Genomic DNA, 16,521 nt, shown 5'->3' on the forward strand with positions numbered 1-16,521 from the left:
AATGGCTTTAAGGCCAAAGCTAGACTTGAGACTAAACTAATTTGAAGGCAATAATCTATTTAAAGAATGAATGTGTTTGTCATTCAGGAGAAGCATTGGCTAGCAGTGGAAGAATAGGCAAAGAAAGTTAGGGATGTAGACACATGCAGAGCTCATCCCAGAGGTGCCTAAAAAGAGAATGTTGTCATTTGCAGGTGTGATGTGTCTTATTTGGGTGTCTGGTATAACCCTGTGTAGGGAAGGATACTTTAAGTTATCTGATGCCATTAAACATATGCTTTTTATGGTCCGCTTCTCTTGCTCTGATTCTGTGCTCATCAAGTAATCTTAAATTGATACTTTGGTTTTCTAGAAGCACACTGAGGTTGACAGTATACTGACCACAGGATATTAGTTTCTGGTTCTATTACTCATTAACATTCTGAAAGTAATTAAGTAAAATGTCACTTTAATTTTATAACTCAAACTCAAATTTATTTAGATTGAGTTTGCATCTATGAATCCAACAGCAGCTAGGGAGATGAATGTCTGTTAGTCTACAAGGGAGAAATAGGGACAGGGTAAAAAGAAACTCTACTTTGTGAAAGATAAATTATGACATCATGTCGTATGTTGTGTAGTCAGCCAAGAAGGATTCCATCTGTGAAGGGACATTGAGAGCTGTAATATTTGGAATCCAGATTTAAATTATTCTTATCTGTGTTATAATTCACTTACACAATCTTCTGATATTCAATATGGAGCTTTTCTGGATGTGCATTGGAAAGAAGGGAACATAATTTGTTCACCTTTGTAGCAAAATGGATTAAATTCAGCTGCAGAAGAGTAGTGGATTAGTTATAAGAAGGGCCAAGAGAGAAGACTGGAGCAGCTATCTGGAATACCTTACTATCATTAGGTATAGATTTTCCAGGTAACACAGCAAAAGGACTAGTGCCCTTTCATCTTCAATAAGATTGTCCAATAAAAAGAGGTATTGGATATATTGTTTCATTATTTCTATTTATGTATCAGTTGTCTTTTAGGAACTAGGTTGAATAGGTAGTCACATAGAGTTGCTTAAAATAATCTCAGGTAGCATTTATATCCTTCTGTAAAAATACAGTTACAAGTAAAAATGCTTATATGGTTAAAATAGAAGCACAGATGATTTTTTTTTCCTCAGGGGTGTCATTTGATGTGTGGAAAAAAAAATCAGAGTTGTCAACTGACATTGGTGATAGTCCTTTGTCACTACTCAGGTTCAAATAGATATATTTTAAACTTAGATTTTAAAACATACAGCTATGAAAAATGATATTTCAACAGGATAATCTTCAGTGATTTTTGATAACGATAAAGTCTGACAAAGTATTTCTATTTAAATACACTCTGTGAAGTAACATAGTATAGAGTCTCGCTAACATAGTATAGGGACCTATTATTCTCTCACTAAGTAGGATTTAAGCTTCTGGTGAGTGCTTCCTTTGGATAGAGTAAAAAGTTATATATCTGTAGACAAATGAAGTAATTCTCTCTACTCAGTTAAAAAAGAAGAAAGAATGTATATCTTATTCTATTTGCTCATTGCAGATGAAATCAGGCATTCTCCTATCTCTTTAATAATGTATAGACTGTACAATGTCATGGATTCTGAGGCAGTGTTTGGTAAATTAATGAAAGTGTAAGCTTTAGCTCTACTTCTGTAAAAATTAAATGTGGAATTCAATAGAGTGTGTCTAGACTGAACAGAGCATTAAATTAAATTTGTACTTCATTTTGGCTTGAGAAAATAAGGAAATTATTGGTGGAGCATAGAACGTGGACTATTCATAGAACTGGAGCAAATTATTAGTTTTCGATGGCAGGCTTATTCATATTTAAAAGAATGCTTGGATATTATGTAAGCCATAAGTTTTTAGCTTAAGCATATAGCAAGAGCAAAAATATATTAAGGCCAAAAGATTGACAATTGTATTTTGTATTTACTCTCTATTTGGATGGAGGAAATCTACACAAAAAAAGTAATTATAAGATAGATTCTCCATGGAAAACATAGATCAATGATTGTGGAAAGGATTTAAGGAGAAATGCTGTGCCCCATAGAAAACCTTCAAATACTAAGGCTTCTTCCACTGGAGGATTTGACTGTGTAAGTCAGGCCATCCTGGTATAAACATCTATAAAACTGGAGAAAACTTATGAAACATCTGTTTGAAGTGTAGAAACAACAGTTAGCACAGGACTGTGACCCTGAAAGGAAGCAAACATGGTGAACTCTACTAATGCCGTGGCTTTCTGACAAGACGAAACATCTAGGCTTCTGTGCAGGGGAGAAGTGGCCAAACAGATCAGGAGGTCTTGCTGAATTGAGGAGCTCAGGGAGGCCATGGCTCATGGTGTTTGTAGGGTGGAGTGTTAGAGAATTCAAATCTACATAGAGAAAGAGAGCTCCAAAAGTTAGCAAGTTGGACTGTCAAATCTTTGTGTAGAGGGAAATTAAACAAAGACAAGCAAATAATAATTGCTAGAAAGTCACAGCTTGCACGTGAGTGGGAGATATCTGCATTCCTATCAGCCAGAGTCAAGAGACATTTCTGAATATCCCAGGCATCTGGTGTAAAACCTGTAAAGGTCTCACATAGTAGTAGCAGGGCTAAATTTGCTACGAAGTAAAGGTTACAGTAGACCCCACTGAGAAAACTTAAATGACAAGCCTTGAAAAGATTAAGCTGATTTGCATGTAGCTGTAACGTAGTGTCAGGAGCTCTGAAGGGTCTGAGTAAAGTTTTACCCTACTTGGATGTTAACAAGTTAGCTTCATGGAAGCTGGCAGGAGACACAAGACTTTTGGAGATAAAGTATAATTTTTCACTTGCAGCAATAGTAGTACCCAGGGTATCGTTATATTTTTGTGTTCGTTCCCCGAGTCCCAATTCCCACCGGCAATGCAGAGAAGACTGGATGATACCTCGCCACGTAGTAGTTTCTTTACAGGAAAGACACCTAGACCTAAAGGAATTTAAATCTTTTATAATGAGAAATATTTCGGTTATTCCCTTTATTATACTGTGCAATGAAAATACCTTACCTTTGCTCCAGAGGGAGGCAGTACTTCTAGTTTTCCAAGGTAGGTTACTATTAAAACATCCTTATAGTACACAAACAGAGGAAATCAGTGACTTGCTCACAATATATGCAGGAATGTGAGAGACTCAGGGAGAATAGTCTTCCAGCAATATCTACCATTTTGTCTTCTGGTAAATTTTCCTATGAGTAAAACAATCTGTTGGCCACTCTGATTAATGTAGCTGATGCAGTCTAGGACCAAATACAGTCTATCTCATGGAGCATTTAATTAGGAACAAATAAATGGTACTTTCCACAGCAGGATGATGCTAACCTGCAATTTTGACCTCAATATTGCCCATAAACAGCTCAATAAATCACCGTAAACCATTAGAGTCTACATTAGAGAGCAAGATGACTTTCTTCTTAGGATCTGTATCAATCTTTCCTCTTTACCTGAGAAATTAATCCACATAGATTTATTGATGATTGCACGTCTACTCGCTGGCCTGCAAGGAGGAAGTCTAGGGCAATTCTATCCTCAACCTAACTTGTGTAAGTTGTTAGTAAATCAAGGCTAACATGAATCCCTCCCTAAGACCAAGGTAGTGTTATTGATCACTTACATCCAGACCTTGGAAGGATTTAACTGTGTAGGACTGGCTATCACGGTGTCAGAGGATCAGAGGGAAAAAGGTTTTTTTTGTTTTTTTTTTTTTAAACTGGGATTCATATGTCTTTCATACAGTGGGTCACCGCAGAGAAATTTGTAGCATATTGTACTCAGTCAAGTGGACATTATCCTTAGGTTCTAGTACCATCCAGCAAGAAAATCCAGGTGGCTGAACTAGAATTAAGTTTAAATCTTATAAGCTCCCTTTTGGCTGGGCTGCCACTAGGAGGATGTTCCAATGAGGTCAACTGGGGTAGCTGTTAGAAATAACAAAGATGCATTATGATTTTTGAATTGGGTCTATTTTATATTTAATTCTGATTATTAGCCAGAATATGACAAAAAATGTATGAAGGCTGATCTAAGGCCATCAAAATGAGGATAGGGAAAACATCTGGAGGTGTTAGCAGGTAATTTGTGTAGGAGATACAGGATGTTTGGCCATCCCTTGCTGTCTCCTGTAAATTTCTTGGTAAGGTTAGAGGGAATAGCATTAAATTTGGTAGAGCCATCTGGTGGGGGATAGCAGAACCAACAGTTAAATTTAATATGTTTGCAACCATTTGGGAATACTGTACCAGAACATTTTCCATGCAGAATTTTTTTTCTATCAACACTTAACTGCCTGAAAAAATGAACTTTAACACCTTCAAAAGAGACAAAAATATCCTGTCTTACTATTCATAATGTACAGCTTCCAATAAAAATTTACAGATATGAGTAATTGCTATAAAATGTGATTCATAATTAAGAAAAATCTATTACAGTAAACAGATCTAGTAATAACAGAGTTGATGGAATTATCAATCTGTAACTTTAAAACAAACTTAAATGCAATAGTTAAAAATTTTTAAAAAGGCAGTGTTTGAAAATAGCAGCTGATTAGAAACTGCAGAAGAAAGGATTGATGAACTTGAAAACACAGCAATAGGAACTATCTAAACTCAAGCACAGAGGGGGAAAAATTGAAAAAATAAACAGAAGCCGAGTAGTCTGTGTTACAATATCAAGCAGTCTTACATGTATGTGATTAGATTGCCCGAGAGAGGAGAGAGAAGAGACAGAAAAACATATTTAAAGAAATAGTGGCCAACATTTTCCTAAATTTGTGAGAATTATACGCCCCTAAATCTGAGCTTCCCAAAGAATCTCAAGCAGCACAAACACTAAGAAAATTATACTAAGGTTCATCCTACTCAAAGTGCTAGAAATCAGTAAGCAGAAGGAAAAATTTTTAAAGTAGTTAGAAGTAAAAAAAAAAAAATTACGGAACCAAGATTTTAAAAAAATGCAGACTGCACTTCAGAAAAACTGCAAGTTAAAAAACAATGTAATCATATCTTCATAGAAAGAAAAAATATATTATTCTAGAATTCTATATCTCATGGAAATACTATTCAATAAGAAGTCAAAAGCTTTTGTACACAAAATCTGAGAAAATTCATTTTTAGCAGAAGTATACTTGAAATAACATTAAAGGGACCTCAGGTTGAAGACAAATGATACCAGGTGGACACTTAGATTTACGCAAAAGAATAAAAAGCACTGGAAATATTCAATTAAAATCCTTTAAAAGATAATTGAATAGTTGAAGTAAAAACAACAGTGTAACATTTATAAAAGTAAAGACTGTGGTAACAGTATCACAAAGGATAAAAGAAGCAAAATTGAAGTATTCTGTCTTACAGTATATGAGAAGTGGTATATTCTTTCAAGGTAGAATGTGATCAGTTGCATACGGTGACTTTAGAACAACTGAAAATAATTAAAAGATGAATAAGCTTTTGGTGGAAGTAAAATTGAATGCTATAGGACAATTCAGAAGGTGGCAGGAAAATGGGAGAGGGAAGGAAAAAACCACATATGACAAATAGAAACAGAAGATGTAGATTTCAACTATTTAATAATTACATGAAATAAATTGCCTGTAAATATTACATATTATATATAAATTATTAATTTTCCCATGGTCTATACTATATATACTATATATAATATATATTTATATTAAATATAAATATATATTTAATATAAATATATATTAAAATTTATATAATATATTTATATAATATATATATTATATAAAATTCATGATCCCAATTTTGTTCACAACATTCAAAGCATTGTAAGGAACCAGTTGAACAGAAGCCTTCTCTCCCTCAGGCTGATTAGCATGTTGACCTTGGCTACATTAATGTCATAGAACTTCTTCACAGCTTGTTTGATCTGGTGCTTGTTGGCTTTATCATTCATAATGAACACAAGTGTGTTGTCTTCTTTCTTCTTCATAGCTAATTCAGTGGTCAGGGGGACTTGGTAATGGCATAGTGGTCAAGCTTGTTTCTCCTGGGGGCACTCTTCCAAGGATATTTAGGGTTCCTCCCAAGCCATAGTGTCTTGGGCCACTGGAAGGTAGGTGATGTGCATATCTTTTTCTGTGTGGCTGTGGATATCTTTGAGTACTGCCTTTTCGGCTTTCAAAGGCTTCGCTTCGGCCTGAGCTTTGGGAGGGGCAGGAGCTGCCTTCTTCAGCTTTGGCACCACCTTGTGAAAAACTGCCCTAGATATTTCAGTTCAAAGTCAGAGACTGTCAGAATAAAGACAAGCTCTAACTACTTACTACTGAAAAATATGCAATTTAAATATAAAAACAGATAAGTGGAAATTTTAAAAGATAGAAAAATATGTATCATGTTGATATTACAATGATCTCACCAGGAATAAAAAGAGGTTTCATAATGATGAAAGGGTCACTTTATCAAGAAGACATAAAGTCTTAAGTGAGTATTTACCTAATAACAGAGCTACAAAATGATATAGAAACAGTAGTAATTCTAAATAAAACCCAATAGAACTGAAAGAAGAAATAAGACAAATTTACAATGATAATTGAAAATTTCAGCACTCATCTTTTTCTGTTATTGATAGAGCTAGTATTGTAAAGTAAGAATATGGAAGATTTGAATAACACTATCCACCACCATGATTAAAGTCATATATCAATATAAAGATCAAATATATATATATTATATATATATATATGAAGAGAGAGCCCAATAAAACCAATAATAGCAGAGAAATAATTATTTTCAAATGCACATTAAATATGACAACTGATGACATATTGGGCTGTAAGACATGTATCAATTTATTTAGAATTACTGAGATCATACACGGAATGGTGTCTGCCCAAATGGAATTTATCAGAAGTAAATAACTGAAAGATATCTGGAAAATTACCAAAGACTTGAAAATTATGGAATACACTTTCAAGCAACCTAAAGCTCAAATAAGAAACCAAAAGGTATATTAGATAATAGAATTGAATGCTAATGAAAATACAACATATAGAAGGCCAAGAAAAAGTTAAAGTCATGCTTGAACACAAATTTATAGTTCTAAATACTTATGTTAAAAGATGAGTAAGGTCTAAAATTGTTGACTTAACCATCCAGCTTAAAAAGTTGAAAAAAGGACAAATTAAACCCCAAATATATAGAAAAACAAAAGAAATTAATGAAATAGAAAATAAAAGAGAAAAAGCAATAAAACTAAAATCTGGTTATTGGAAAGAAATTTAAAATAGATAAGAGTTAAACTGGTAAGGAAAACAGATGACACAAATTATTCATATCAGGAATAAAGGAATACTTAACCACAGATCATAGAAACATTAAATGGAAAATGAGACTAGCATGAGCAACTAACTGTATGCCAATAGACTACATAATTCAGACTCAATGGACAAACTCTTCAAAGGGACACATAATTGACCTGATGCGGGAAGAAATAGGATATTGGAAAAAGCCTATTATTAGTGTACCGGGGTGCCATAACAAAGTACCACAGACTGGGTGGCTTAAACAGAAATTTATTGTTTCACAAATCTGTAGGCTGGAAGTACGAGATGAAGATGTCAATAGAATTGGTTTCTTCTAAGGCCTTTCTTTTTGGCTTATAGATGGTGATCTTTTCCTTCTATCTTCACATGGTCTTTCCTCTGTGGGCATCTGTATCCTAAACTCTTTTTGTAAGGACACCAGTCATACTGAATTAAGGTCTACACATATGAGCTCATTTACATTAATTGCGTCTTTAAAGGCCCTGTTTCCAAGTACTTCACATTCTGAAGTACTAGGGGTTAGTGCTTCAATGTATGAATTTTGAGGAATACATTTCAGCCCACAACACTCTATATCTATTAAATAAATCAGGTTTGTGAACAAAAACTTTCCCACAAAAAAGTCCAGTCCAGATGACTTCATTCCTAAATTCTATTAAGAATTAAAGAAATAAATAATAACCACCCTATACAAACATTGGAAAAAAAATTGAAGAGAGATACATCCTATCTTGTTTCATGAGGCCACTATAACCCTGATGCAAAACTCAGAAAAAACCATTACAGAAAAAATAGATACAATATCCTTTTAACAACAGATAAATTGTACTCAGCAATATGTAAAGAAGGTGATACATTATGACCAAATAGGGTTTATCCTAGTAATGCAAGGTTGGTTGTATATTTGAAAATCAATATAATTTATCTTATGAAGAGAATAAAGAGAAAACCCACATAATCATCTCAATCTTTTCAGAAAACAAAGAAAAATTAGGAGCCATTGCCAGATTGTAAAAAGTCTCCACAAATTCAGAATACAAGTAATCTTCTTTATACTGATAATCTACAAGAGTCCTAAACTAACAGCATAATTCATGGGGAAAATTTGAACCCTTTTTCAAGATTAGAAACAAAGGAAGTAGGTTAGCAGTCACTACCTGTATCCTACATTACATAAGGTGTCCTGGCCAATTATAAGGCAATGAATAGATATTAAGGCACACAGATTTTAAATGAAAAGATAACTCTTTTACTTGCAGACATGACCATGTACATGGAAAACAACGAAAGGATCCATAAAATAGCTATTATAGCAAATAGGTGAATTTAACACAGTTGCAGAATATAAGACTAATATAAAAAATCAATTGTATTTCTATGTACCAACAACAAGTAACCCAAAATTGAAATTTAAAATACCATTTCTGAGAGGATAAAAACACATGAAAGAATACTACATTTTAATAAAATATATGCATGACATTTACACTGAAAACTGTAACATTGCTGGAAAAAATTAAATATCTAAATAACTGGAGAAACACGCAATACTTGTGGATCTTAAGACTCGATATTATTGAAATATAAATGTTACCAAAATTGACTTATTGAATCAATGCAATCTCTATAGGCTTTAATTTTGTTGGCATGTACAAGTGAATTCTAAAATTTATGTGAGAATTGAAAGGACCTTAAGTAGTTGCTAAAGTAATTTAGAAAAACATTAGATTTACACTACATAATTTTAAGACTTACTATAAAGCTACAGTAATAAAGACTTTTGCCACAAAGAGATATATATAAAATACACACACACACATACACACACACACACACACACATACACATATAAGATATAATGTATCTCAATAGAACTTATATATATGGATGTATATATATATATATATATATATATATATATATATATATAAGGTCAATTGAGATATTACAAATTTCTTAAGGTAATTTAATAAAGATGGGATTAGGCTGGGCATGGTAGCTCAGGCCTATAATCCTAGCACTTTGGGAAACCAAGGCAGGTGAATTGCTTGAGCTGAGGAGTTCATGACCAGCTTGGGCAACATGGTGAAACCCTGTATCTACAAAAAATATCAAAAAATTAGCCAGGTGTCTTGGCGTGTACCTGTGGTCCCAGCTACTTCAAGGGCTGAGGCAGAAGGATCGCTTGAATCCAGGAGGTCAAGGCTGGAGTGAGCTGACATTGCACCACTGAACTCCAGCCTGGGTGACAACGTGAGACTCCATCTCAAAAAAAAATTATATATATATATAAAATAAAGGTAGGATTGTCTTTACTACAAATGGTGCGTGAACATCTGGAAATCTTAAACCTCAAATACCACACATAATACACAAAATCGAACCATAGGCCTTAGTATAAAAGCTAAATATATAATTTTTGAAAACATAGGCATTTTCCACAACCTTGGGACAGGCAAACATTTTTTAGGCAAGACAGTAAAATCAAAACCAAAGAGGAAATAATGGACAAATTGAACTTTATGAAAGTAAACAAACTCTGCTCTTTGAAAAGCATCTTTAAGAAAGTGAAAAGGTGAGCCACAGGCTGGGAGAAGATAATTGTAAATGATTTATGTATGAATTAGGATTTTTATCTAAAATGTGTTAAGTACTTCTGAAACTCATTAATAAGACAAACAACTTAAAAACAAAGTAAGCAAAATATTTAAACAATTTCCCAAAGACAACATACAAATGGCAAACTGTATATGCAAAGCTTCCAAACATCACAATTTTCAGGAAGATGCAAATTAAAATTACAATGCAATGCTGCTACATAGTTACAAGAACATTGTAAGAATGGGAAGCAACTGCAACTCTCATCCATTGCAGATGGGAATGTATGATGGTACAATTGCTTTGAAATACATTATGGCAGTGTTTTATAAGATTATCTAAACACATGTTATAAGACTCAGCAATTTCTCATTCTCAAAAGGAATTGAGAAATGTCTATACAAATACATGTACATAAAAATTCATAGCAATTTTTTTCTTAATTTCAAAACCTGGACACAGCCCAAATATCTACCAACAAGTGAATGGCTTAACACATTTTGGTATATTCATATGATGGGATACTAAAAATAAAAACAAAAGGACCGCTGATACATGTAACAACATGGATGGGTCTCAAAACCATTATGCTCAGTAAAGGAAGCTAGACACAAAAGACTAAATTCTGTATGATTTTATTTATATAAAATTCTAAAACAGTAAAACTATGGTATCAGAATGCAGATCAGTGTTTCCTCGGAGCTGGAGATGGGATATGGGATTAATAGCAAAAGGGCCGTAGGTGACTTTCTGGGGTGACTGAAATGTTCTTATTGCTATTGCATTATAAAAATATAGCTATACTTTTAAAAACATTAAATTGTATACAAAATCAGTACAATCTAGTTGTATATAAATTACATCTTAATAAAGTTGATTTAAAATACAAAAAAATTTAAGATACTTGGGGTTAAGACAACAATTGCCTTGTCTGGATCTGTTCAAAGTTTTTATAGATAAGATTGCACTTTTTCACTTATTTGAATTTAGAGTTGGCCAAGATTATTGTTGGCTAAGGAAATGTGAGCATAGATCATGGTATTACTTCTGATTGGAAGATTTTAAACCCATTAAGGGAAGGTTTAAAGGGATACCAGGAAATTATGGGGGTAAAAATTAATCTATATCTTGATTGTGGTGGTGGCTATGGAACTGTTTCTTTTATCAGAACTATTAGTGGATTGTAGTGTATATAAATTATATTTCAAGAAACTTTTCAAAAACAATTACAACCCAGAAGTATTTCTAAGTGGCCAAAATATTGCTTAAACATATCCATTTGTAATGTTATGAAAGTTTTTTTATTGTGAAAACTCACGTACATTTAACACTAAAAATTTAGCTTATACAAATAAGATTTTACACACGCTGACCATCAGGATGTGCCTATAAAGATGCATTTGGTTGACTTGGCAGCTTTCTCTCATTACATCTCCTTGTCCACTGTAATGAATCTAAGAATTATGGGGAATAGTCAGGGAACAGAAAGAAGTCAACTGGCATATCTAAGAATAGAAGTCATGACGAAAACCGTATAAATAGATTGCACTCTCTAAAGGAAGTCATGTACTCATATATACAGTAATGCTATTATTAGGATAGTAGTGTTCTATTGTATGAATATACCACTGTTTAATGCATTCAGCAATTGATGGACAGAATATTTATAATTACATGTGTATGATTTTAAGGAACATTTGTTTTATAAAAAATAATTTATAAATTTGTTTTTTGGCATAATGTCAGATCCAGAGCAAGAAAAATACAGTGGATTTAAGATAGATAAGTACTTGATATAAGGAAATTTGTAGTATTTAGAACAGAAAAGTGTGTCAAGTTCTAGTCTGTTCTTCCACAGACCAAGAATCATTGACCTATTAGTTGTCAAATAGTGGTAAAGCACAGTGGTCAAAAGCATAGACCCCCAAGTCAGACCCCCTGAGTTCCAATCCATTTCTACTACTTATTTACTTATTATCACTTACTTATTTACATTAAGCAACCTCTCTTTCTCTCAGTTTTCTCATGCCTAAAATACACAAATGGTCCCTACATCATAGCAGTGTTATGAGGATTGAATTAACACTTGTGAAGAATTTAGAACAGTGTCTACTAGCCACCAGTTATCTTTTATTATTTCTTTTCTCACATTCCTGCAAATATACATTTCAAATCAGCACCACTTTTCTCAAGCCTGCCTCTTTGCACAGTTCGCCACTTTGCACAGTTGCCTGGGGTCATTCTAGCCAACTGGCCAAGGAATCAGTAAAGAATGGCCTTGCTCATTGCAAATTTCTTTATCTTTAGGACTCTGTTAATGAGGTTCTAGCTGGATGAACTTGGAGTCAGATTATACCCTGTCAAAGGCCATTTTTTTTGGCATATTCTAAATTAGCAACTGACTAATTTATCGGGTATTCCATATTCAAAAAATAGCAATTTCAAACCTGATGAAATGTAAATGTTTTATAGTCTACTTTATATTAAAAGTTGGCAAGTTTGGGATAAGATTGGGCCCTAGAAAACAATGATATTTTCTGTATGACTCATAGGGGCAAGCTGCCAGGAAAAATAGATTTTAACTTTTATTAACTTTTGCTCAGTCCTTGATTCTAGGGAGAGAAAGTGTTATGGGCTAAGTTTAATTGGCTCAACATAAACTTTTGACAATCGATGTTCATATGGAGCCTGAATTGTAACAGCTACCTGAGAGTCGTGCTGGCTGTGCCTGTGATATCTTCATCAGTTAGTGATTTTCAGTGACATAAAAGGGGGACATTTTCTGTTTCCCTTAAAATAGTTCCCTTAGTAAGTCAGTACTATCTTATAAATGAATTAAACAGTTATAGTGAATAGAAAGAGACAGGTTCTCTTATTTCTGACAACATTGAGGAAGAAACTTAGAATTATAACTGAGACTTGAAATAAGAAAGACAAAAATCAGGGAAAACATTAACCTTTATAAACTATGCTAGGTGTCTTCCTGAAGACTAGGGGAAAAGAATTCCTCATTCCTAGCTCAGAGGACCCCTAAAAGACAATTTAAGCACTCGTTAATGAACAAAGTTCTTGTGAAAGTTCATCTCCAGAACATCTGATGACTCTGACAAGATTTGATTTCTTTTTATAGTCAAAGACTATAATATGAGATAGAGATATGTGCATATCATTACAGGCATCCAGACCTTCTTTAAGATTACAGTGACATATAATGAAACTTATAATTACCTTTATAAAATTTTGTCTTGTTGGCTCAGTTCAGAGATTGCTCTGTCATTAGAAAAGGACACAGTTCTTTTTAGTGACACAGAAATAAAGCCTTTCTTTACCTCCTAATTCTCAGCATGAACTGGTCATTTCTTCTTTTAAAACCATCAACTGTATGGGAATTTTGGAGGTGAATGCCAGATCCAACTTCCTGTGTCTCCTAAGAGGAATAGAAAGCCTTTCTCAAAAATTCTCTGTTTCAGACCTGAGTGATAGGCCATCCTTCATTTGTGGATCAGCACATGACCCACTCCAAGGTGTAACTTGGGTGATCAGATTTTATTTGTCTGTCTTGTTGGAATAGAGTCAGGCAACTTGAACCCAGGAAAGGCCTCATGACTGATTTGGAATAACTTAATTAGTGGTGAGAAGTGAGACTTCTCTTAATCCTTTTGAAGTCAGAATAGACTTACATTAAGAAAAATAAACAATGTCAAGAAGCTCACAACCCTTAAAGTACAGCTATCAGGGCCAGTTGTGGTGGCTTACGCCTGTAACCCCAGCACTTTGGGAGGCCAAGGTGGGTGGATCATGAGGTCTAGAGATCGAGACCATCCTGGCCAACATGGTGAAACCCCGTCTCTACTAAAAATACAAAAATTAGCTGGGTGTGGTGGCATGTACCTGTAGTCCCGGCTACTCAGGAGGCTGAGGCAGGAGAACCGCTTGAACCCAGGAGGCGGAGGTTGCAGTGAGCCGAGATTGAGCCACTGCACTCCAACCTGGTGACAGAGTGAGACTCCACCTCGGGGGGGGGGTGGGGGGGGCGGTGGAGGGGGGAGGGGAGAAAGGCTATCAGGAATGTAAGTTGGTAAAGAAAGTTAAATAAGAATTCTCTACTTTCTACCCTTGGAATAATTGAGCATTCTTGCTCTCCCTGATTGTCTTGACATGTAACTGTTAATCTTGTGAGGCTTAATTACCCAGGTCCAACAAGTAATATATACTAAACCTTCTTAGATTGCAAACTTACAGCTAAATCCTTCTAGAACTGCTCTCATATTGCAACATTATTAATACTTCTCTTTTCTACCTTACTATTTTCATATATAAATCCCCTACAACTGTTTTTTGTTTTTTTTGTTTTTTAACTATTCCCACAGCTGAGTCTGTGGCATTTTTCTCTCTTTTGACTAATTTCTCTGTTTCTGGGCTGTTCTGAGGCTCCTGTGTCTTCTTTAAGGCTACTCCTTAGAGAAGGAACCTTCTAACTGGGTCAGGTCCTTGGAAATTAAAGCGGAACAAGGAGTGTACCCAGGTTCACAACACACTTAATTGTTTGTGGCCTTTCGGTCATAGCCACTTGATTACTCCACAAACTTTACTCTCCATGCTACTCACAAGTCAAAGAAGCAACATGAAACATGATCAATAAAACCTTTAAAATATTTATGAAAATATAAAAAAACCCATTAAACTATATTGGTTTGCTTCAAATTTAGTGTCATTAATCCATTTCAAATAATTTTACATTATTACATAGTTAACACCTAGTGTGTATGCCTACTTTCCTGATGTCAGCTTTGTAAAGAGCATTAGCGAGTTCTGGATCCCCATTGGTACCCTCCTCAAAGCCTTTTACTAAATTTAATTCAGTGTCCTAAGATTTCATTTAGAATACAGATACAGACTTACACCAGGCGCGGTGGCTCACGCCTGTAATCCCAGCACTTTGGGAGGCCGAGGTGGGTGGATCACAAGGTCAAGAGATCGAGACCATCCTGGCCAACATGGTGAAACCCCATCTTTCCTTAAAAAAAAAAAAAAAGTGCAGACTTTCTAGAGGCATGAAAGTCCTTCATTCAGAAGAGGCAAATTTTATTTTAATCACTATAAACATTCTCAGTAAGTGCTCCTGTCTTATAATATTGTAATAATAACAATAATGCTGCCAACTAATGAGTGTTTCCTCAGTACCTCTATCCAAAATCACTCACTATAAGCCAAGACTACCCAAGACCTGCACTGTATACGTGGAAACCCCTTTTCTTTATAAAAAAGCAGAGACTGAAGTTTTTTCATGAATATGAGCCACTTGTAAATGGTTATACACTAGTGTATAGAATAAATGTGTCTCCAATGACTGAGACTATGTGTAAAAATGAGAGTGTATTCGTTTCCTACAGCTGCCTTAAAAATTATTACCTTGCTAGCTTATTACTTTGTTGGCTTAATTGTTATCTTGTTGGCTTAAAACAACAGAAATTTATTCTCTCTCAGTTTAGGAAGCTAGAAGTCTGAAATCAAGGTATTGGCAGGATTGGCGCCTTCTGGAGGCTGCAAGGGAGAAGCTGCCTCTTACCTTTCTCCTACCTTCCGGCTATTCCTGGCAGTCTGTGACATTCCTTGGCCTGTAGCTGCACGACTCTAAACTCTGCCTCTGTTGTCACAGGGCCTGCTTCTCTGAGTGTCCTTTGTGTCTCTGTGTCCAAATCTCCGACTCCTTTCTCTTATAAAGATACTAGGCATTGGCTTTGAGCGTCACCTTAACCCAGTGTGACCTTAATTTAACTTGATTACATCTGCAAAGACCATGTTTTCAAATAAAGTTACGTTCACAGGGATGGGGGTAAGGGCTTATACATAATTTTGGGGGCATACAATTCAACCCACTACAGAGAAGATAGACAAAAAATATGTCAAATAATTCAATGGAGCTGCAAATCGAAGTAACTTCTTGTTATGAGATGGACTTGAACATTTTGGTTAATAACCTAATAAATTAAAAATCTAAACATCATTTCATAGATAATTTGTAATCATATTATCAGTAGTGTTTTTGTTGGTATCCATTCCTAGACACAGATGGCTCAATCTGGAAGAAATGATAATAAAAGCCAAATTATTATTTTTAATGAGACTCGAGCTTCAAATACAAAACATTTGGGCTCAAGGGATTATTATGTTTATAATTATAGTTAAAATCTTCTTGGCTTTTTTTTTTTTTTAACCAGTACAATAATTTTTTTCAAGGATGTCTTCAGAAAAATGATACTACTCTGAGGGTAAATAGCAAACATTTCCAATTTGCTCTAGAACATCAGTTCCAACAGAATAATTTTTGAGAATAGTTACTGCCAATCTGATCTAGATCAGATTGTTTAGGGCTGGCTTTTGTCCTAAAGGTTAGCAGATTATTAGAGAACTTACTTAACCACCTTTTCCTGTGCATGGGCTTTCTCAGTCTCCCTGTATATTTCCATAAAAAGGCATTCCATCCATTATGGGTTGAATTGTACGCCCCCAAAAGATGTTAGAGGTCACCGGTGACTGTAACCTTATTTAGAAATAGTCTTTGCAGATGGTTGGGTTT

The 16,521-nt window shown here is 34.6% G+C and overlaps 1 long non-coding RNA gene and 1 pseudogene across 1 annotated transcript in view; one reads left to right on the top strand and one right to left on the bottom strand.

Moving 5' to 3' along the window:
• Positions 1 to 16,521, top strand: part of LOC124904475 (uncharacterized) — a 765,263-nt gene that overhangs the window by 296,718 nt on the left and 452,024 nt on the right. The gene's annotated exons all lie outside the window — the stretch shown is intronic.
• RPL23AP22 (ribosomal protein L23a pseudogene 22) lies at positions 5,812 to 6,275 on the bottom strand (annotated as a pseudogene).

Source organism: Homo sapiens, chromosome 1, assembly GCF_000001405.40.
Source record: "Homo sapiens chromosome 1, GRCh38.p14 Primary Assembly".
Lineage (NCBI taxonomy): Eukaryota > Metazoa > Chordata > Mammalia > Primates > Hominidae > Homo > Homo sapiens.